This window comes from Homo sapiens, chromosome 5, assembly GCF_000001405.40.
Source record: "Homo sapiens chromosome 5, GRCh38.p14 Primary Assembly".
NCBI lineage: Eukaryota > Metazoa > Chordata > Mammalia > Primates > Hominidae > Homo > Homo sapiens.
In genome coordinates, this window is record NC_000005.10 from 42,950,346 (window position 1) to 42,970,176 (window position 19,831).

Below are 19,831 nucleotides of genomic sequence, written 5' to 3' on the forward strand. Positions count from 1 at the left end.
CCTAAGTCTAAATTTCCTACCAAATTAAATAAATAAATAAATAACAGTCATGGTTAAACCTGTTTAGCTTAGACTATAAAATGGTAGGAAAAAAAGTCGCTTTCGGCGGGACTTGCTATTGTCAACTGGGGCTTGGCAAAACTGAAAAATCCCGTTTGCCTGCATTTCCTGACTTCCAGGGGAGTTTAAAAAACACAGGCCTAGCTAAGGCGGGACCCGCTATTGTGAAACCAAACTTAGTATAAGAGCTCCCAGGCCCTGCTAAACTGGTCATCGCTAAGCAAAAAAAAAAAAAAAAACCGCATTCGCTGGTACCCAGATTTCTACAGGAGTTAAACGTCTCCTGAGCAGCTAAAGCAGAGCTTACTAGTAAGAAACTTGCAATGACTAAGGAACTTGAGGCAGGGCTAACCCGGGGTTGTTAGGATTAGAATTCCGAGGCTACAGGAAACCCGGAATTGCTGAGATGTGAGTCACAGGGTGACTCAGCCTCGTTACGATGAAACAGTAACTTCCTACTACCTAGAAATCGCAGCCAGGGCCAGACCGGTGTTTGTCCTAAGTCGGAACTTGATTGGGCTGAGAAATCACATTGTGACTATTCCACGACTTGAACAAGGGGTAGAAATCGCAGGCACCGCGAAATAGAAACTTCCTAGGACCAAGAAGCCAACGACGCCCGAAACCGTGGGGTCCTGTCACAGAAACCCCAGCAGCGCAGCCACCGGACTGGGTTCTGGAGGCCGAGCCGCAGTCCGTGCGGCGGCGCTGGGAAGAGAAGGCGCCCCGGCAGCTCCCCTGCCACCGGCCCCGAGGAGCGGCTGGCTCCCCCAGCCCAGCGCCGCCGCCGCCCGGTAACTCCAGGCGCAACTGGGCGCAACTGGGGCAGCTGCGACACCGAATCCCTCACATCTGCAACCTGGGTGCTGCGGCCACTGAGAAAATGGAGGCGCAGACCAACGAGCGGTGCCGCGACCGAGAGACCTCGGCTGGCGAAATGGTGGTGCCGGGAGCCTGCGAGTGACGCCAGCCGGCGGGGTTGTCAAGGACAACATTCGTTTTGACGCAGCCAATGGCGCCGTCACCAAGAAACCATCGACTCTGAGAAAAAAGAGAGGTTCGGCCACCGAGAAACTCCGTACGACAAGTGCTGTGGCAGAAAAACCGCCTACTCCGCGCCACAGGCAAAACAGCCAATGGAAACCCCAGGTGCTGCGACCGTGACACCGGCACTAGAGGGTCTCGGATGGAGAAAGCGGCGCACGGAGACCAGGAAACTATGTGTAGCACAACTAGCAGAAAACCGTCTGGTCGGCCATCCGGGAGAAAGCGCGGATCAGAAACAAGCGACTTCGATGCAGGGAACCGCGCAGCCACTGAAGAAAGTGACCCACGTGGCAGTGGTGCCAGCGAAACACTGCAGTTTGGACGGCAGCTGTGGGGATGCCACAGAGAAACATGCACTGCCACTGAAGTACATCCAGCTCCGCGGAGCTAGTGTTCATATGATCAAGAAACCGCCAGTTGGGCTCTGCTAGAAACTTTTAGTCCTCCCTTAACGGCTATCCTACCCACAACAGACAATGCCTTTACCCAGCACCTAGCGGTGCTGAGACCCGCCTGGGCCAGCACAGAGCGCAGAGCAGTACGGGTACGGAGAAACGCCGGACTCAGTGAAACCAGCCTTGCCTCCAGCGGATTCCCCGGCTTCGCCGGACGCCACAGGCAGAGTGCCGCGGGGAAACCTCTGGCTCCCTAAACCGATTAGATTGTGGGAGTGGGGGGGACACTCACAAGTTGTGTGGAAGGGAACCAGCGGCAATGGGACCCGGCGAGCACTTGCCCGCAGCAAATGCCTGCGCTGCTGCAAAAAAAACAACTTTTGGCGCAAAGAATGTTGCGGCCAGAGAGCATCCGCTGTCGCTGACAAAGGAGTAGCAATGGCAATGAGAAACCGCCGGCGCCACGGCCGACCGCGGCGGCTCACGCCTATGATCCTTGCAGTTTGGGAGGCCGAGGTGGGCGCATTACTTGAGATCAGGAGACTAGCCTGGCCAACAAGGTGAAACCCCATCTCTACTAAAATACAAAAGATTAGCCGGTTGTGGTGGCAGGCACCTGTAATCCCAGCTACTCCGGAGGCTGAGGCAGAAGAATCGATTGAACTCAGGAGGCAGAGGTTGCAGTGAGCCAAGATCGCGCCACTGCACTCCAGCCTGGGAGACAGAGTGAGCTCCGTCTCAAAAAAAAGAAAGAAACCGCTGGCGCCGGGAAAGGAGCCGTGCAGCGATGGACCCATGGTGCGCTCCGTGCTACCAAAGTGCTGTGGCCTCTACCCACTCTCGATTCCCAAGGCTGTTTTTCGGGCTTAGGGAAGTCTGTTATATTTTTATTTCTGCTTCTTTCTTTTCTTTCTTTTATTTCTTTCTTTCTTTTTCTTTCTTTCATTCTTTCTTTTTCTTTTTCTTTCTTCTTTCCTTTCTTTCTCTCTTTCCTTTTTTTCTTTTTCTCTTTATTTCTTTTTTCTTTATTTTTTTTTTTAACAGTATCTTGCTCTGTTGCCCAGGCTGGTGCAGTGGCGTGATCACTGCTCAGTGCAGCCTCGCCTTCTTGGGCTCCAGCTATCCTCCCGCCTCAGCCTGTGGAGCAGCTGGGACCACAGGTGCGCGACACCACACCCGACTAATTTTTTGTAGTTTTTGTAGGGTCTCGTTTTGTTGCCTAGGCTGTTCTCGAACTCCTGAGCTCAAGCAGTCCGTCCGCCTGGGCGGACTAATATCACAAAGCGCTAGAATCACAGGCATGAGCCACCGTGCTGGGAGGGAAGTCTGTATTGTTGCTGCGTTCAACCCAGTGCATAGTGCATGAGAAGAGGAGGCAGTTTAGGGGCCCAGAACCAAGCGGATGGGGCTGGTTGCAGGAACAAAGTAAAAACCATTCTGATTGCCAACAGCTGCCTACGCAGGAAACACCCTTCCAACCTCCGTGGCGGGGCTCTCCCAGGCCACCCCTCGGTCCCAGAGTCTCCTCCCCGTCCAGAGCTCTCAGGATCCTACAGAAGGGGCGGACAACTCTTCCCTTCCAAACTGGAAAGTCGGCCTAGGTTTCCGAGGATAATGAAAGGCACAGCGTTTTTTGACCTCGACTTCAGGCCTGACCCCCCACTCTCTCGGTCCCGTACCTCTTCTGCGGGATGTAACTCTGTGGGAACCGCTCCTTTATTCTGATGATTAACTGTCTGATATCCTTGATATTTGGGGATAGTAGATGAAAGAGAGCAGGAGAGAAAAATGGACGGCAAGACTCCAGCTCAGAAGGTGGGAATGATGGCAAAAGTCCGCTACCTCTCCAAGCCCAATAAACATCTCAAACTGCTCTACACTTTTCTGTACCCTTGATCTGTGAAATGGATCACTGACGTTTTCTGTCTTTCGGGAAATGCAAAGCAGGCGAATTTTCAAGCGCTTGAATTCCCTCTTTTTCCTACTTTTCAGTCAGAGTGGAGCTAAAAACTCCTTCCCCATAGGAAATATGGAACTGCCTCTGCCCGGAAGAAAAACGTCCCTTTTCCCTAAGCTTTCACATTTCCCGAAAAATCTACACATCCGCATGAAATCCTCACAAGAGACCTACAGACCCTACCGGGAGCGTTCCTGTCACTACAAAAAATTTAAAAATTAGCCGGATGCGGTCGCGGGTGCCTGTAGTCCCAGGTACCAGGGAGGCTGAGGTGGGAGGATCTCTTGAGCCCAGGAGGTCCAGGATGCAGTTAACGATGATCCTAAGACCACGAGGCAATTGGAGGATCCTCAAATACCAGGGAGAAACTAGCTAGCAGACATAGTATGGTGGGAGGGGAAGATCAAGGCAAATGCCTTGGGAGTGGGTGAGAATTGCGACTTCATATTGGATCTCCTGACCTGTGAAGGCCCTTTTCTAGGCTCCTCTGGACCTGTCCTCTGCCCAGGTTCAACCAGAAAAGGATGGAGTTTGTTGCATGGTATCATCAGGGTGAGGTTGGGAGATGATGCGGGAACGCTCATCCCTGGTCTTAGGAACGGGAGAACAAAGGAAAAATGGCATCATTTCCACCTAAAAAGTTACAAGCACTTCACCAGAAGGAACAGCCCAGGCGGAGCCTTTGTAAAAGAAAAGCCCCACCCACTGCTTCGCACTCCTCATTTCCACCCAGCAGAGCATTTTAGTGACAAAGCTGAGCGGGAGCCAGAGTTCACTCCTGTAATCCCAGCACTTTGGGAGGCCCAGGCGGGAGGATCACTTTAACCCACGCGTTCAGGACCATCCGAAGCACATAGCAAGACCGTGCCACTACAAAAAATTTAAAAAATTAGCGGGATGCAGTCGCGGGTGCCTGTAGTCCCAGCTACCAAGGAGGCTGACGTGGGAGGATCTCTTGAGCCCAGGAGGTCCAGGCTGCAGTGAACGATGATCCTTCACGGCACCACTGCACTCCAGCCTGGGTGACAGACTGAGACTTTGTCTCAAAAAATAAAATGAAATAAAAATACAGCCGAGATTAGGAACTCTTTAAGAAGGGGTCACCTGAGACATTATTAGTATACCATTAACAGGAGAAAATGCTGCAAATTAAAGTATCATAATGGTAGGAGGCTACCCATTTAAAAATATATACCTGTTTCAGAGACACTAAAGTGAGAAAAAATTTACTCTAGAATTGATTAAATTCAGATATCCACTGCTTTATTTTAAACCTTAAGTGCCATTTTAGTTTATTTACCTCTTAGAAATAGCATGGAGATTGGAGTTGTAATTTTTTAATATTTATTTATTTATTTATTTAGAGACAGAGTCTGGCTCTGTTGCCCAGGCTGGAGTGCAGTGGTGTGATCTCAGCTCACTGCAGCCTCTGCCTCCCGGGTTCAAGCTATTCTGAGGCCTCATATCTGGGAACCTGCCCCAATAGTCACATAGGTTCTTTTCTATTTTCCCTAAGCATCGGCCGGTTTGAGAAATAAAGGGACAGAGTACAAAAGAGAGAAATTCTAAAGCTGGGTGTCTAGGGGAGACCTCACATGTCAGTAGGTTCTGTGATGCCCCACAAGCTGTAAAACCAGCAAGTTTTTATTAGGGACTTTCGAAAGGGGAGGGAGTGTACGAATAGGGTGTGGGTCACAAAGATCACATACTTCACAAGGTAATAGAATATCACAAGGCAAATGGAGGCAGGGCGAGATCACAGGACCACAGGACCGGGGTGAAATTCAAATTGCTAATGAAGTTTTGGGCACCATTGTCATTGATAACATCTTATCAGGAGACAGGGTTTTGAGAGCAACTGGTCTGACCAAAATTTATTAGGCGGGAATTTCCCCTTCCTGATAAGCCTGGGAGCACTATGGGAGACTGGGGTTTATTTCATCCCTACAGTCTCGACCATAGAAGACGGCCACACCCAAGGGGGGCATCTATAGACCCACCCTCAGGTGCGTATTCTCTTTCCCAGGGATGTTCCTTGCTGAGAAAAAGAATTCAGCAATATTTCTTCCATTTGCTTTTGAAAGAAGAGAAATATGGCTCTGTTCCGCCTGGCTTTTTCCCAGCGGTCAGAGTTTAAGGTTATCTCTCTTGTTTCCTAAACATTGCTGTTATACTGTTCTTTTTTCAAGGTGCCCAGATTTCATACTGTTTAAACACACATGCTCTACAATTTGTGGAGTTAATGCAATTATCACAGGGTCCTGAGGCGACATACATTCTCCTCGGCTTACGAGATGACAGGATTAAGAGATTAAAGTAAAGACAGGCATAGGAAATCACAAGGGCATTGATTGGAGAAGAGATAAGTGTCCTTGAAATCTTCACAATTTATGTTTAGAGATTGCAGTAAAGATAGGCATAAGAAATTATAAAAGTATTAATTTGGGGAACTAATAAACGTCCATGAAATCTTCACAATCCACGTTCTTCTGCCATGGCTTCGGCCGGTCCCTCCTTTTGGGGTCCCTGACTTCCCGCTACAGCCTCAGCCTCCCAAGTAGCGGGGATTACAGGCACCAGCCACAATGCTCAGCAATTTTTTTGTATTTTTAGTAGAGAGGGGGTCTCGCCATTTTGTCCAGTCTGGTCTTGAACTCCTGACTTCTATATGATTGTATTTGTTTTTTCACAATGTAGTTCAATACATTGAAATGGTTGGGCAAGTGGCAAAATCATATTCCTCACTCCTCTGGTTTTTTATAAGGTTCAATTTATCATAAATACTTTCCACTTCTTGCCTCATCTTTTACTTCTCCTCACATATTGAGTGGTTCATGGCACAAAAATCATTATTTGTGACAGACACTGTGCCAACTGTATTTTGTGCTTTATCTGATTTCATTCTCAACTGAAAACTGCGGCAAGCACATGCTTTGTACTGGGCTTGCTTCTCATTTCCATTTTGTAGATACACACCCTCACTTAGGGAAGTATGAGTTTGTACAGCTCTGCCTGTGGCTGAATAGATAAATGTAATTTTACCATTCAGTGTTAAATCAACTTTTAGTGTAAATTTAAGGCCCATCTTCTAACATAGGGGTACGTGTGATTTTACTGTGTCCCTTCTCCCTAACACTCCAGTTCAAGATAGCAACCTAAATTCTGAGTTGATTATTCTGGACACACTCCCTCAAAATGCGACTGTAAGACACCAGAATACACCACCCCAGTATGCCAATATATCAATATACCTCTGGCGTATTGATTATTTCAGGCCAGGCATGGTGGCTCACACCTGTAATCCTAGTGCTTTGAGAGGCCAGGAGTTCATGAGCAGCCTGGGCATGTAGGGAGACCCATCTCTATAAAAATATTTTTAAAAGATTAGCTGGGCATGGTGGCATGTGCCTGTAGTCTTAGCTGCTGGGGAGGCTAAGGCAGGAGGATGGCTTGAGCCCAGGAGTTTGAAGTTGCAGTGAACTCTGATTGCACCACTGCATTCTAGCCTGGGTGACAGAGTAAGACGCTATCTCTTAAAAAACAAAACAAAACACTCACGCCTGTAATCCCAGCACATTGAGAGGCCAAGGTGGGCAGATCACTTGAGGTCAGGAGTTTGAGACCAGCCTGGCCAACATGGTGAAACCCCGTTTCTACTAAAAATACCAAAATGAGCCAGGCGTGGTGGCACGCAGCTGTAATCTCAGCTACTTGAGAGGCTGAGGTGGGAGAATTGTTTAAACCCAGGAGGCAGAGGTTGCAGTGAGCCAAGATCGCACCAAACCACTCCAGGCTGGGCAACAGAGCAAGACTCCATCTCAAACAAAACAAAACGAGATGAGAGAAAAACCTCAACCTGTACACCTCTTTATGACAGAACAACACAGAAAGAGAAAGACAAAGAAAAGACTACTCTAGGAGGAAATGGATGAAACAATATGATTCTTACCACAAAGTACCAGAAAGTACACCATAGTCAATACACCAGCACTGGTCACACAAATCCTTTTCTCCCATCAGTCAAAATTTTGGACAGGAAAAATGAACAGAGTGATATTTACTGTCTACTTGACCAAATTCCACAGAGAGGGGCCTGGAATCTGACTGGTAAGAAATTCTTATCCTTAGGCTGGCTGATTAGCTCCTGGTTTTCCTTAACTGTGGGCTTCCAAAAGAGCCAACCTTTGGGTTCCTGCTTACAACACCAAATTTCTAGGGGCCAAGGGAAATCTTTCTCTTAGCACTCTGAAAGTTTGTTGTAAAATCGACTTGCAAAAACAGAAGATTAACAGGAGAAAACACATACAAAATGTATAATTGCCCAAACCCCCAGTGAGGTGCAGGAGCTTATATATCATCTTGAGATTACAGAAAGAAGTGGATCATGGCAGAACTGGTTATAGGAGGGAGAGAAGATGAGGTCTGCTAGCAATGGTAGTCTTGTTATGTACATGAAACCTCACAGATAGCATCCCTCAGAGAACTGTTTCCTTAAGACCTTTAAAGGTGTCAGACTCTCATTAATCCTTCCTACATCTGGAAAAGAGAAGGCCTGTATATATCAATGCACGATGGCATTGCAGGGCTACTTCTTTTGCTGCCTCTGACAGCCATCTCAAAATATGTCAAAGAAATATATTTTGGGGTAAAACATTTTTCTTTCTTTCAAAGTGGAATATTAAGCGTACGTCTCTTATAGATACACTTTTAAATAAATAAGGGAATCCACTTTTTCTAATTTGTTAAGATATTTTTTGTTTTAATAATGAAGAGAGGTTAACTTTTAAAAAGGTTTTCTACATCTACTGATATTATCATGTGGTTTTATTTCTTTTTACTGTTAATGCGGTGAATAATATTGATTGATTTTCAAATGCGAGTTCCTGGAGTAAATCCCACTAGGTCATGATGTATTTTTAAAATATATATATTGCTGGATTCAGTATGCTAATGCATTATTCATAATTTTTAACATCTGTGATCATGAGAGACATTGGCTGACCAAAAATGGGAAATTGACAAGAGTAATAAACAAAATGGGCTTACAAATATTCATACTTGCTTGATACTTAAAAAGGCCTTTTAATGTATTTTTCTGCCCCACTCAAGCAGACTTTTTAATTTCTGGCAAGAGGTCTCATTCAGGCTGTTCAAAGGTCAATATTAATCTGAATCATTCCACATTTGTAGGCATCCTCATTATCTTTTCAATACAGATTGAATTATTGGGGATTCAGACAGCAGAGGAAAAAAGTCAAAGCATATAAGGTAAGCAGAGCAGCATATTTTATTGGTCTGGCTTCCCTAGGAAGCATTAGCTAAAGTGAAAACTTATGTGAGACTTTTTAATTCAAAAGTAGTTTTTTTTTTTAAGAAAGTGGAATTTAAGAGAGGGAAGTGGAACAGGAAGGGGTAAGGGGCAATTCAATGCTGTGCTACCTCATTGGCCCATGTGGGGTATCATGCAGGGCCACAGGCAAATTAACCATGCAGGTAAGGAAGCTTAGCTTTTAGGAGTCCTTCGAACAGGTCTGTAATTTTGTACTGTAAATTTTTATTCTTTTTTTTTTTTTTGAGTTGGAGTCTCACTCTGTCGCCCAGGCTGGAGTGCAGTGGCATGATCTCGGCTCACTGCAACCTCCACCTCCCAGATTCAAGTGATTCTTGTGCCTCAGCCTCCCAGTAGCTGGGATTACAGATGCCTACCACCATGCCCGGCTAATTTTTGTATTTTTAGTAGAGACAGAGTTTTGCCACATTGGTCAGGCTGGTTTTGAACTCCTGACCTCAGGAGATCCACCTGCCTTGGCCTCCCAAAGTGCTGGGATTACTGGCGTGAGCCACGGCACCCGACCATCTTTTTTAAAAAGAGAATCCTCTACTACTTGTGTGAACATTAGGTTCTACGAACTGAACCCACCCTGAACATAACTGTTTGCTTGATCACATGGAACCATCTTCTGGGAAGCCCTGACTATGACTGCTTCTAAGAATAATCCATTTAGAAGGAAAGAAAGGAGAAGAATATATCCACTGTGGGAGAAATAAAACAATCCTGACCACGAAAAGGCCCCTGACTACCCAGTGGAGAGAGAGAACACTAATTGAGTTAGCCTTAACAGATTTACATGCATGTAAGGTAGCATGACAACAACTATAAAGCTGGGCCATATCTCATGTGTTTTGAGCAGAGCCTCAGGAATTATGAGAACTTCTTTTACTGCTTCAAAAGAAAAGAAGGCACACTTTGTGACAGTTTCCTGTATACTGAGAGACCCTCAGCTCATCCTGTGGGTGCTTTTTAAAAACATCTGGATGTTATTTTCCTATGGTCTTGGGTAAATTCTGGAGACTGGGCTTAATCCCTAGAGATATTATATTTCTACTGGTAGAACAAGGATTTAGAGTTACCATGTTGAATGTAATATCACTGTTTTATTTTCTTCATGGTTTTTAGGAACAGAAACACACTCAGACATGAAAAATTGTCCTGGTTTAAAAGGGTTCCTTTCCTTACAGGTGAGTAAGAATTGTCACTTCCTGACAGGACCAGGAACATCAGGATATTTGGAGAATCTTAACAAAAGGAGAATTCATCCAAATCTCTAGGTATTGCAGGCAAAGTATGATAGCAAGATCCTGGTTTGGTTTCCTAGCATCTGGACGCTTTTAAAAGTCTAATTTGAGATTCCTTATGAAAATGTCCAGGTAAGTCAACTTAAAGAGAGCCTACACTGCAGCATAAGTTCCTAGTTATCATTGCTAAAGTAAAGTTATCATTGCTGAGAGTACCATATCATCCTCTGGAGAAACTGAACCTCTATAGAGTTAGTTCTACTTATAGTGCAAAACAGTGCTTCAAGTTAGAGTCAGCATATTTACTGATTCTATGCAGTAACCAGTGTTATCTATGTTTCTCCAGACTTGTCAAATTATACCTTTTTCTTTAATCAGGGTGGGCTCATAGTTGTCACAATTTGTGTACTAGGGGTGAGAGAAACTGTGGTTCTTCTCTCTAAAGAGCTCGAATTTTGTCTGACCTCGTTTTCTTTTTTTTTCTTTTTTTTTTTTTTTCAGTGTTTCTTTGTTGCCCAGGCTGGAGTGCAATGGCATGACCTCAGCTCACTGCAACCTCCACCTCCCCAGTTCAAGAGATTCTCCTGCCTCAGCCTCCTGAGTAGCTGGGATTACAGGCATGTACCACCGTGCCTGGCTAATTTTGTATTTTTTAGTAGACACACGGTTTCTCCATGTTGGTCAGGCTGGTCTCGAACTCCTGACCTCAGGTGATCCACCCGCCTCAGCCCCCCAAAGTGCTGGGATTACAGGTGTTAGCCGTGGCGCCCAGCCCTGTCTGACCTACTTTTCAAAACCAAAAAGATGAGCAATAAGAGGGCAGTTAATTAGCAAGACCTCCTTCCCTAAGATCTTATTCTAAGGTTGGGAGATAGGACAACAGACAGGAAGAAAGACGTCAGAAATATACATTTAAGAGAAAAATGTTCTTTTGGCAGGCCTAAGACATTTTCTATTAGAGTGTGTTAAGGGTCTCTACTAGCATCTTCAGATTGTTCTGTCATCACCACCAGTGTTTTCTGAAACCCTCCTCCTTTTCCCACCCCCTCCCTCCCACTCCAGAAAAACCACACACAAGGTTAAGCCTCCTATCCAGTGTCTCCTGGAAGTCTAAGGAAGTCACAGGTGCCTCTGTGGTCTGGGGATCCCAGTCTTGGAATGGGAGTGAGTTCTGGGACAAAGGTGAAATCAGACATGGTAAATCAGATACCTAGCCTGTTGTAGGCTGGTGGTTTAAATGTTAGGATTCTGGCGTGATCCTGCTGTGGTTCAAATTTCTCACCTCTTTGACTTTCAGAAGTTAGTTTAATCCTTGTGTTTCATTCCCATTGTTAGTAAAACCAGATATAATTGCGGTACTCATTATATCAGTGAGGTTAATGGGTATCCTTCCTTAAGCATAGTCTAGCACCATTTAAAATAATAAATATTAACTAGGATTTTATTCTAATTACTCCTTTCCAGCAATTCTGGGGGCTAAGTTTTCCCCAGTGTTAGTTCTGTAGTGCGTGAAAGCTCAGACTTTCTTCTCTGGAAGCTACTTTCTAAACTCCTTTCACCCCACCTCTTTATTAACTAAGATATCCACCTCACCCTTTCCATCTTTTCCTGTCACCAACATTCTCTGTGCCTCCCTCACTGTTCTGAGGCTGTATCATATCCAGAAAATAATCATCAGTCATTTCATAGTAAATTGTAAGAGCATTGCTAGTGTTCACATGTTTAATCACGGGATGATACTTCTGCCATTTCATCCTCAATTCTGATACCTCCAGTTCGTGTTTGCTTATGAAACAGGGACCACTTGAGGGACTGATGAGTTTGTTGCATGTTGTAGGCACTGATGTGCTTTTATTTAACTACACTGGTTTTCTGGTTTTATCATTTTTCTCATAGTTGTCACCAACTTGTGGTCTCATAATTGTTACCAACTTGTGAAGTAGGGGTGAGAGAAACTGTGGTACTTCTCTCTAAATAGCTTGAATTTCGTCTGACCTAGTTTTCAAAAGCAAAAAAAAATGAACAGTAACAGTGCAGTTAATTAGTAAGACCTCCTTACCTAAGATCTCATTCTAAGGTCTGAGAGATAGGACAACAGACAGGAAGAGGGTTGTCAGAAAAATACATTTAAGACAGAAATGTTCGGCCAGGCACCGTGGCTCATGCCTGTAATCCCAGCACTTTGGAAGGCCAAGGCGGGTGGATCACGAGGTCAAGAGATCAAGACCATATACAAATACAAAATTAGCTTGGCGTGGTGGTGCACACCTGTAATCCCAGCTACTCTGGAGGCTAAGGCAGGAGAATCACTTGAACCAGGGAGGCGGAGGTTGCAGTGAGCCAAGATGGTGCCACTGCACTCCAGCCTGGTGACAGAGCAAGACTCCGTCTTGAGAGAGAGAGAGAGAGAGAGAGAAATGTTTTTTGGCAGGCGTTAAGACCCTAATGGAACACATGTTTAAAAAAAATGGTGGGGGGGGGAAGAGAAAAATCATTAAAGATGAAAAATTGCCAGAAATTCCCCTGTGTACTTTTCCCCTTGCCTCTTACTTTCTGGTTTCTGAAACAATAACTGATCAATGGGGTGTGGTGAGGGAGTAGAGAAAGAATGAATAGCCCTGAATGCACTGATAATAGACTGCTTGCCAATAACCACTGATAGAGTTTGAATACAATTCTACAATGGGAAAAAATGTTTTTAAACATATGTCTGATGAAGGATTGCTATCCAGAATAAATTAACACTTTCTAAAACTCATCATTAAAAAACAAACAACCCATTTCAAAAATGGGCAGAGGACTTAAATAGACATTTCTCCAAAGAAGACATACAAATGGCCAATAAGCACATGAAAAAAATATGTCCAGCATCACTAATTCTTAGGGAAATGCAAATCAAAACTACAGTGAGATACAGGTACCACTGCACATCCACTAGGATGGCTACTATCAAAAAAAAAAAAGATAATAAGAGTTGGCAAGGATATAAGGAGTTTGGAACCCCTATGTATGCACTGTTGTAAGCATGTAAATTGGTACAGCCAATGTAGAAAACAGAAAGTTCCTCAACAAATTAAAAATAGAATTACCATATGACCCAGCAATTTCACTTCTGGACATATACTCAAAATAATTAAAAGCAGAGTCTCAGGAAGATATTTGTACACCCAAGTTCATAGCAGCATTACGCATAATAGCAAAGATGAGGAAGCAACTCAAGTGTCCATTCACACATGAAAGGATAAGCAAGACATGGTACATATAGACAGTCAGCCTTTAAAAAGAAGGAAATGCTAATATGCTACATCACAGATGAACCTAAGGGACATTATACTAAATGAAATAAGCCAGGCACAAGAAGACAAATACTGTATGATTCCACTTACATGGGGTACTTAGGGTAGTCAACATCATAGACACAATGCAGAAAGGTGGTTGCCTGGCATGGGGGAGAGGAAAGTAGGGAGTTATTCTTTAAAGGATACAGAGTTTCACTTTTAGAAGACACAAAGAGTTGTGGAGATGGATGATGACAATGGTTGCAAAGCATTATGAACTGTACACTTAATGGTTAAGATGGTAAATTTTGTGTGTATTTTACAGAGAGAGAGAGAGAGAACTGGGCACCCGCTCTTGCATTCTCTTCACTAAAATCCCAAATGTTCATTTACAGATAGTCACCCATAAGCGTTTTTCTCCCAGCAGAACAGAATTCCAGTCTCTGCTCAGGAGTAGCAATCTGACTTGGGGAAATGATAAACTTTCTATAAACCAGGGTCCCCCAGAACAGCTTTCTCTTCATAGGCCCAGTACTAATTTTTCTTTTCATCCCCTGAGACAAACTATTTGTCTCTGGATAGCTTTCACATGAGATGATAGAACTTGATGTTAATGTCATTAATTCTGTTTTCATATGCAATCTGCTTCTAGGATTAATGTCACCAGCCAGGTTCCTAACCTATGTGGAACACCCAGGGCCAGAAGAGTCTAAAATTGCAAAAGCTCGTGGCTCCTGAGTCCAAGAGTTCCTGGTTTTCCTGGACACAAGCGATAGCGCAGCACTTTCTTCCCCATGTGCCAGAGGCCTAGGGTTCTGCAGAAGAGGCCCCAAGGCCCCAGACGCTGCAAGCCCTAAGCTCAGTATATTCTAGGCCCTGTCCTCTCACTTTCTATTTCTTGTGTGGCCCCCAAACTTGTGCCAGCTATCCTGGAACAGCCAAGAATTCAACTGTGACCTGCTTCCTCCCTCAACCTCTTCTCCCCAACCTCCCCACCACACTTCTTCTTTGGGAAGATTTGTAAAAATTAAGGTTATTATATCCATGTAACTTTCTGTATTTCTTTTAAACTCCTTGTGCTACTAAGTCACACAGGTTTGACTCCTGGATCTAAAAAAGTCACCAACTCTGGCTAAATCTTAAACATTGACAGCAATTGAAGCCTCATCTTCAGACCTAGGAGAAGATGAAAATCAGAATAAGCTGCAGTCATAAGACATGGGTCCAGAAATTAAAACTATTCAACCCCTCTAGTCCCAGGGACTATTGCAGAAGAAGTGGGTGTGTGAGCTTGTAAGGATCCATTTTAAGAGATAAAATTAATTCAGAGTTTCTCTATAAATTAAACAGTTGCATTTGTTGTTGTTTTGAGACAGTCCAGCTATGTCATCTGGGCTGGAGTGCAGTGGCATTATCCTGGCTCACTGCAACCTCTGCCTGGCAAGATTCCTGGCACCTCAGCCTCCCAAGTAGCAGGGACTACAGGGGTGCACCACCATGCCTGGCTAATTTTTGTATTTTTATAGAGACAAGGTTTCACCATGTTGCCCAAGCTGGTCTCAAACTCCTGAACTCAAGATATCCGCCTGCCTAGGCCTTCCAAAGTGCTGATTTTACAGCTATGAGCCACCGTGGCCAGCCTATAAATTAAACATTAATGTCAAAGGAACACTGATGCAAGACAAGCATGTGGGTCCCTGTGTCAGATTAACAATGTTTTCTTGGAGCATTAACACATTCCTTACTTAAAAATTATGAAAGGTTATGAGAAGGTTTACAAAAATTATATCTTACACTCAAGATTATTAAAATTTAATAGATTTGTCTGTAAATTTAATTGACTTCATCCTGTCTTTATTAGGTTTTATTGTTTGGGAAAGTAAGTCTCAAAGAGTAAAAGTTTTTGCCTTTTTGTTTTTAAAATATTTGAGTTACCACTTTGACTAAATGAATGACTTATTTTACAATGACCTGTGATGCTATTTTGTGATATTGTGTTTTCAACCTTTGATGTTTGACAAACTTTCCAAAATCTAAATCTAAATTCAGGGCTTTGGTCTCACTAATTTTTTTGACATTACATCCCCTGAAATCCAAAGAGACATATTTGGCTTACTTGGTATAATAAAATCTTCGTTATCAAATATGAAATGATGTGTAAACTTTTTTGGCTTGTATTTATATAAATGTGTTATTAGTATGTGTTCCAAAATTGTATGAGATTCTTGTGATTCTGATATGTCTTAGAATATGTTATCAGAACTAATTATGATTATTATATTAAATTGTTATGTGCCGTAGATACAACCAAATTTCCTTGTCAATTGTGTCTTTAACCATGGCTGTTCTAATTCTTTTGTCATCCACAATCATTGTTTTACTTTGATCCTTTCTTAAGGTGGTTTATAATCAGTTATAGAGCTCTGAGGACTACTCTTTCTTTTTCTTTCACTTTTATTTTTAATGAGATGGGTTCTCGGTCTGTCACCCGGTCTGCAGTGGGGTGGCATCACTGTTCACTTCAGCCTCAGTCTCCTAGGCTCAAACAATCCTCCCACCTCAGCCTCCCAAGTAGCTGAGACTACAGGTGCACACCACACACCCAGCTAATTTTTAAAATTTTTGCAGAGATGGAATCTCCCTATGTTACCCAGGCTGGTTTCAAACTCCTGAGTTCAAGCAATCCTGCCACCTCAGCCTCTCAAAGTGCTGGGATTACAGGCATGAGCCACCACACCCGGCCTTTTAATACATTGTCTCTTCATTAACAGATAGTAAGTGTCTATATTGTGCTACAAAGTGATCAAAGTTCCAGACATAAGTGATCAACAAGCAGAAATGGACTTGGCCATAAAGTGTTTGACACAATCAGGGGCTGAAAAAAAATAAAGCAGGAAGCATGACAACAAATAAATAAGACAGTGTTTATGTGATAAATGCTATCAAGAAACCTAACGCAAGTTAGATGGAAAGGTAACTAGGAGGATGCTATATTAGCTAGTGTAGTAAAAACAGAATTATCAGAGATACTTCCACTTTGATAGGAATAATGCAACGAACAAAGCAAAGAAAAAAAAAATCCGGGCCAGGTGCAGTGCTCACCTATAATCCTAGCACTTTGGGAGGCCAAGGTGGGCAGATCATTGAGGCCAGGAGTTTGACACCAGCCTGGCAAACATGATGAAAATTCATCTCTACTAAAAATACAAATAAATCAGCTGGGCATGGTGGCCCGCACCTATAATCCCAGCTACTCAATGGCTGAGGTGGGAGAATCATTTGAATATGGGAAGTGGAGGTTGCAGAGAGTCAAGATCACACCACTGCACTCCAGCCTGGGCAAGAGAGCAAGACCCTGTCTCAAAAAAAAAAAAAAAAAAAAAAAAATCTGAAGGTGGAGTTACCATCATGAGAGAATATAAATTACAAAGATTCTAAGACTAGAACAACTTTAGTATGGGCTGGGCATAGTGGCTCACACCAGTTATCCCAGCACTTTGGGAAGCTAAGGCAGGAGGATCACTTGAGGCTAGAATCCCAAAACCAGCCCAAGAAACATGGTGAAACCCCATCTCTACACACGCAAAAAAAGTTTTTAATTACCTGGATGTGGTGGTGTCCACCTGTAATGCCAGCCACTCAGGACGCTGAGGCAAAAGGATTGCTTGAGCCCAGGAGTTGGAGGCTGAAGTGAGCTATTATGGTACCACTGCATTGTAGCCTGAGCTACAGAGTGAGAGGCCCAGTCTCTAAAATTAAAAAAAAAAAAAAAAAAAAAAAAAAGTTGGCCAGGCGCAGTGGCTCACACCTGTAATCCCAGCACTTTGGGAGGCCAAGGCGGGCAGATCACAAGGTCAGGAGTTTGAGACCAGCCTGGCCAACATGGTGAAACCCGGTCTCTACTAAAGATACAAAAAATTAGCCAGGCATGGTGGCAGTCACCTGTAATCCCAGCTACTTAGGAAGCTGAGGCAGGAGAATCGCTTGAAACCTGAAGGCAGAGGTTGCAGTGAGCCGAGATAGCTATTGCAGTCCAGCCTGGGTGACAAGGCAAGACTCCATTAAAAAAAAAAAAAAAAAAAAAAAAAAGTTTATTACCATCAGAGTGAACAGGCAACCTACAGAATGGGAGAAAATTTTTGCAATCTACTCATCTGACAAAGGGCTAATATCCAGAATCTACAATGAACTCCAACGAATTTACAAGAAAAAAAAACCCCATCAAAAAGTGGGCAAAGGATATGAACAGACACTTCTCAAAAGAAGACGTTTATGCAGACAAAAGACACATGAAAAAATGCTCATCATCACTGGCCACCAGACAAATGCAAATCAAAACCACAATGAGATACCATCTCACACCAGTTAGAATGGCGATCATTAAAAAGTCAGGAAACAACAGGTGCTGGAGAGGATGTGGAGAAATAGGAACACTTTTACACTGTTGGTGGGACTGTAAACTGGTTCAACCATTGTGGAAGATGGTGTGGCAATTCCTCAAGGATCTAGAACTAGAAATACCATTTGACCCAGCAATCCCATTACTGGGTATGTACCCAAAGGATGATAAATTATGCTGCTATAAAGACACATGCACACGTATGTTCATTGCAGCACTATTCACAATAGCAAAGACTTGGAACCAACCCAAATGTCCAACAATGATAGACTGGATTAAGAAAATGTGGCACATATACACCATGGAATATTATGCAGCCATAAAAAATGATGAGTTCATGTCCTTTGTAGGGACATGGATGAAGCTGGAAACCATCATTCTCAGCAAACTATCACAAGGACAAAAAACCAAACACCGCATGTTCTCACTCATAGGTGGGAAATGGACAATGAGAACACATGGACACAGGAAGGGGAACATCACACACGGGGGCCTGTTGTGGGGTGGGAGGAAGGGGGAGGGATAGCATTAGGAAATACACCTAATGTTAAATGACGAGTTAATGGGTACAGCACACCAACATGGCATATGTATACATATGTAACTAACTGCACGTTGTGCACATGTACCCTAAAACTTAAAGCGTAATAAAAAATAATAATAATGATAATTTTTTAAAAAGTTTATTACAGCCATGGACAGAGAGAAAGCAAATAACGGCTATCAGTGACCTCAGTGGGAGGTATCTAGACTAAAAAATCTTGTAGTCTTCTGACAAGATGGCCTACTGGCTTCTAGGCAAACATGATACGTAATTAGATAAAGATGGAAGTTTTGATTTAGTTTTCATTGAATTGTTTAATTACAGTGTTTACTAATTTCTGACAGCAACTTCTTTTAGGGAACCAGTTTGTAATGTGGCTCAGAAAATCATTCCCTGACATTCAGCCTAAAATCTGTGTCTACACCTTTCTATCAGATTTTAAGTGACTTTTATCCCATAATAAATCTTTTTATGCTTATACTATTTGAGAGTGTTTTGTTTCTTTTCCTACACACCATATAAAAATGCAACAGTAACATCACATTTAATATGGTGAGTCTTAATCCGTAGTTGAGCCATTGGAATTTAGATTAGTCCTTCTAAAGGTAAAGCTGAATCTCAAGTTTTTACAATGTAGCAATTTATCCAAGGTTATGCGACAAATAATATGTAGACATTTCTTGAAAGTACCCCTACAATGAGCTGAGGGTCTTTCAGCAGATAGCAAGATGCTATTGTAAGGTGTTCTCTATTTGAAGAAAGAAAGGAATTCATCCTGCTTCCCCCTGCTCTGCTGAAAATGTATGAGATGACTTTGTAGTTCTCAGGCTACCTTACATGCATGTTAAATGCAAACTCAATACTAGTATTCCCTCTCTCTTCTATTTGGTACACTGGGGTCTTTTGTTGGGAGAATTGTGTTATCTCTCCAACAGTGGATATATTCCATCCTTTTATTCCTCCTAAGTGGACCGTACTGAGAAGCAGTTATTCATACGGCCTCTCAGAAGATGGTTCATAAGATCGAAAAATCAGTGGTGTTCAGAGTGGATTCAAATTTGTGGAATCAGTATTCATACAGGTAGTAGAGGATTTTCTTTGAGAGAATTACAAAAATGCTTTAGGACAAAAGTTTTACAAACTCTTTGGAAGTTTGCCTTAAAGTTAAACTTTATAAGTTTGATAATAAAGTCACCTCTGGTCATGCTTGATACAAGATTGAGCAACTAGGAAGCATAGCATTGAATATGCTCATCCCTGCCCCTCTCCTCTTTCTTCTCACTCCCACTTTCTAAGGACAGCACTCTTTAATAAAGCAATCTCACACAAGTGTTTATTTCAGTAATATTTTGAGGGGAAAGCCAGGCAAATAAAATATGTCTCTCTGCTCACCTCATATACCTCAGTGCTTTTCCCCTGCTGTTGGAATACTCAAAAATTCACTCTGTATTAAAATTTGTTTCAGAGTCTCTTCAAAAATAGAATTGACTGAGGCCAATCTTGACTGTTGACACGCTGCAAATGAAACATGGCCCCTGTATTTGAAAAGTCTTTGGCTGAGTGGGACAACCACAT

General features: G+C 43.2%; 1 long non-coding RNA gene across 2 annotated transcripts, besides 10 other annotated features; it reads left to right on the forward strand.

Moving 5' to 3' along the window:
• Positions 78 to 1,277: an enhancer, noted in NCBI's record as "BRD4-independent group 4 enhancer chr5:42950525-42951724 (GRCh37/hg19 assembly coordinates)". NCBI's record gives its function as "activates an origin of replication core promoter dependent on BRD2, P300/CBP, MED14 and CDK7 cofactors, and independent of BRD4, by STARR-seq in HCT116 cells {active_cell/tissue: HCT116}" and the evidence as "EXISTENCE:reporter gene assay evidence [ECO:0000049][PMID:35650434]".
• Positions 78 to 1,507: a biological region, named in NCBI's record as "BRD4-independent group 4 enhancer GRCh37_chr5:42950525-42951724".
• Positions 322 to 616: an enhancer, noted in NCBI's record as "tiled region #1008; HepG2 Activating non-DNase unmatched - State 20:ReprD, and K562 Activating DNase unmatched - State 8:EnhW". NCBI's record gives its function as "activates a minimal TATA promoter and a strong SV40 promoter by Sharpr-MPRA in HepG2 and K562 cells {active_cell/tissue: HepG2 | K562}" and the evidence as "EXISTENCE:reporter gene assay evidence [ECO:0000049][PMID:27701403]".
• Positions 378 to 437: an enhancer, noted in NCBI's record as "active region_22514". NCBI's record gives its function as "activates an Ori minimal core promoter by ATAC-STARR-seq in GM12878 lymphoblastoid cells {active_cell/tissue: GM12878}" and the evidence as "EXISTENCE:reporter gene assay evidence [ECO:0000049][PMID:35858748]".
• Positions 414 to 558: an enhancer, noted in NCBI's record as "145 bp enhancer 35 fragment used in the MPRA reporter construct; PK_construct_3791". NCBI's record gives its function as "activates an SV40 promoter by MPRA in HepG2 and K562 cells {active_cell/tissue: HepG2 | K562}" and the evidence as "EXISTENCE:reporter gene assay evidence [ECO:0000049][PMID:23512712]".
• Positions 414 to 936: an enhancer, noted in NCBI's record as "H3K27ac-H3K4me1 hESC enhancer chr5:42950861-42951383 (GRCh37/hg19 assembly coordinates)". NCBI's record gives its function as "activates a minimal SCP1, AML or CMV promoter by ChIP-STARR-seq in primed H9 embryonic stem cells {active_cell/tissue: H9 hESC(primed)}" and the evidence as "EXISTENCE:reporter gene assay evidence [ECO:0000049][PMID:30033119]".
• Positions 481 to 491: a transcriptional cis regulatory region, noted in NCBI's record as "NFE2L2 motif; MPRA enhancer 35 activity is reduced when this motif is scrambled". NCBI's record gives its function as "necessary for full MPRA enhancer 35 activity {active_cell/tissue: HepG2 | K562}" and the evidence as "EXISTENCE:site-directed mutagenesis evidence [ECO:0005528][PMID:23512712]".
• On the forward strand, positions 544 to 15,625 carry LOC105374745 (uncharacterized). Of its 2 annotated transcripts, XR_925964.3 has the most exons (3): positions 544 to 8,727; positions 9,979 to 10,167; positions 13,966 to 15,625. It is a non-coding gene; the product is annotated as an uncharacterized LOC105374745 (long non-coding RNA). The 2 variants fall into 2 exon arrangements; XR_007058752.1 differs by having other exon boundaries at positions 9,979 to 15,625.
• Positions 728 to 827: a silencer, noted in NCBI's record as "silent region_15987". NCBI's record gives its function as "represses an Ori minimal core promoter by ATAC-STARR-seq in GM12878 lymphoblastoid cells {active_cell/tissue: GM12878}" and the evidence as "EXISTENCE:reporter gene assay evidence [ECO:0000049][PMID:35858748]".
• Positions 937 to 1,458: an enhancer, noted in NCBI's record as "H3K27ac-H3K4me1 hESC enhancer chr5:42951384-42951905 (GRCh37/hg19 assembly coordinates)". NCBI's record gives its function as "activates a minimal SCP1, AML or CMV promoter by ChIP-STARR-seq in primed H9 embryonic stem cells {active_cell/tissue: H9 hESC(primed)}" and the evidence as "EXISTENCE:reporter gene assay evidence [ECO:0000049][PMID:30033119]".
• Positions 1,238 to 1,507: an enhancer, noted in NCBI's record as "active region_22515". NCBI's record gives its function as "activates an Ori minimal core promoter by ATAC-STARR-seq in GM12878 lymphoblastoid cells {active_cell/tissue: GM12878}" and the evidence as "EXISTENCE:reporter gene assay evidence [ECO:0000049][PMID:35858748]".
• Positions 15,626 to 19,831: the final 4,206 nt, after the last annotated feature.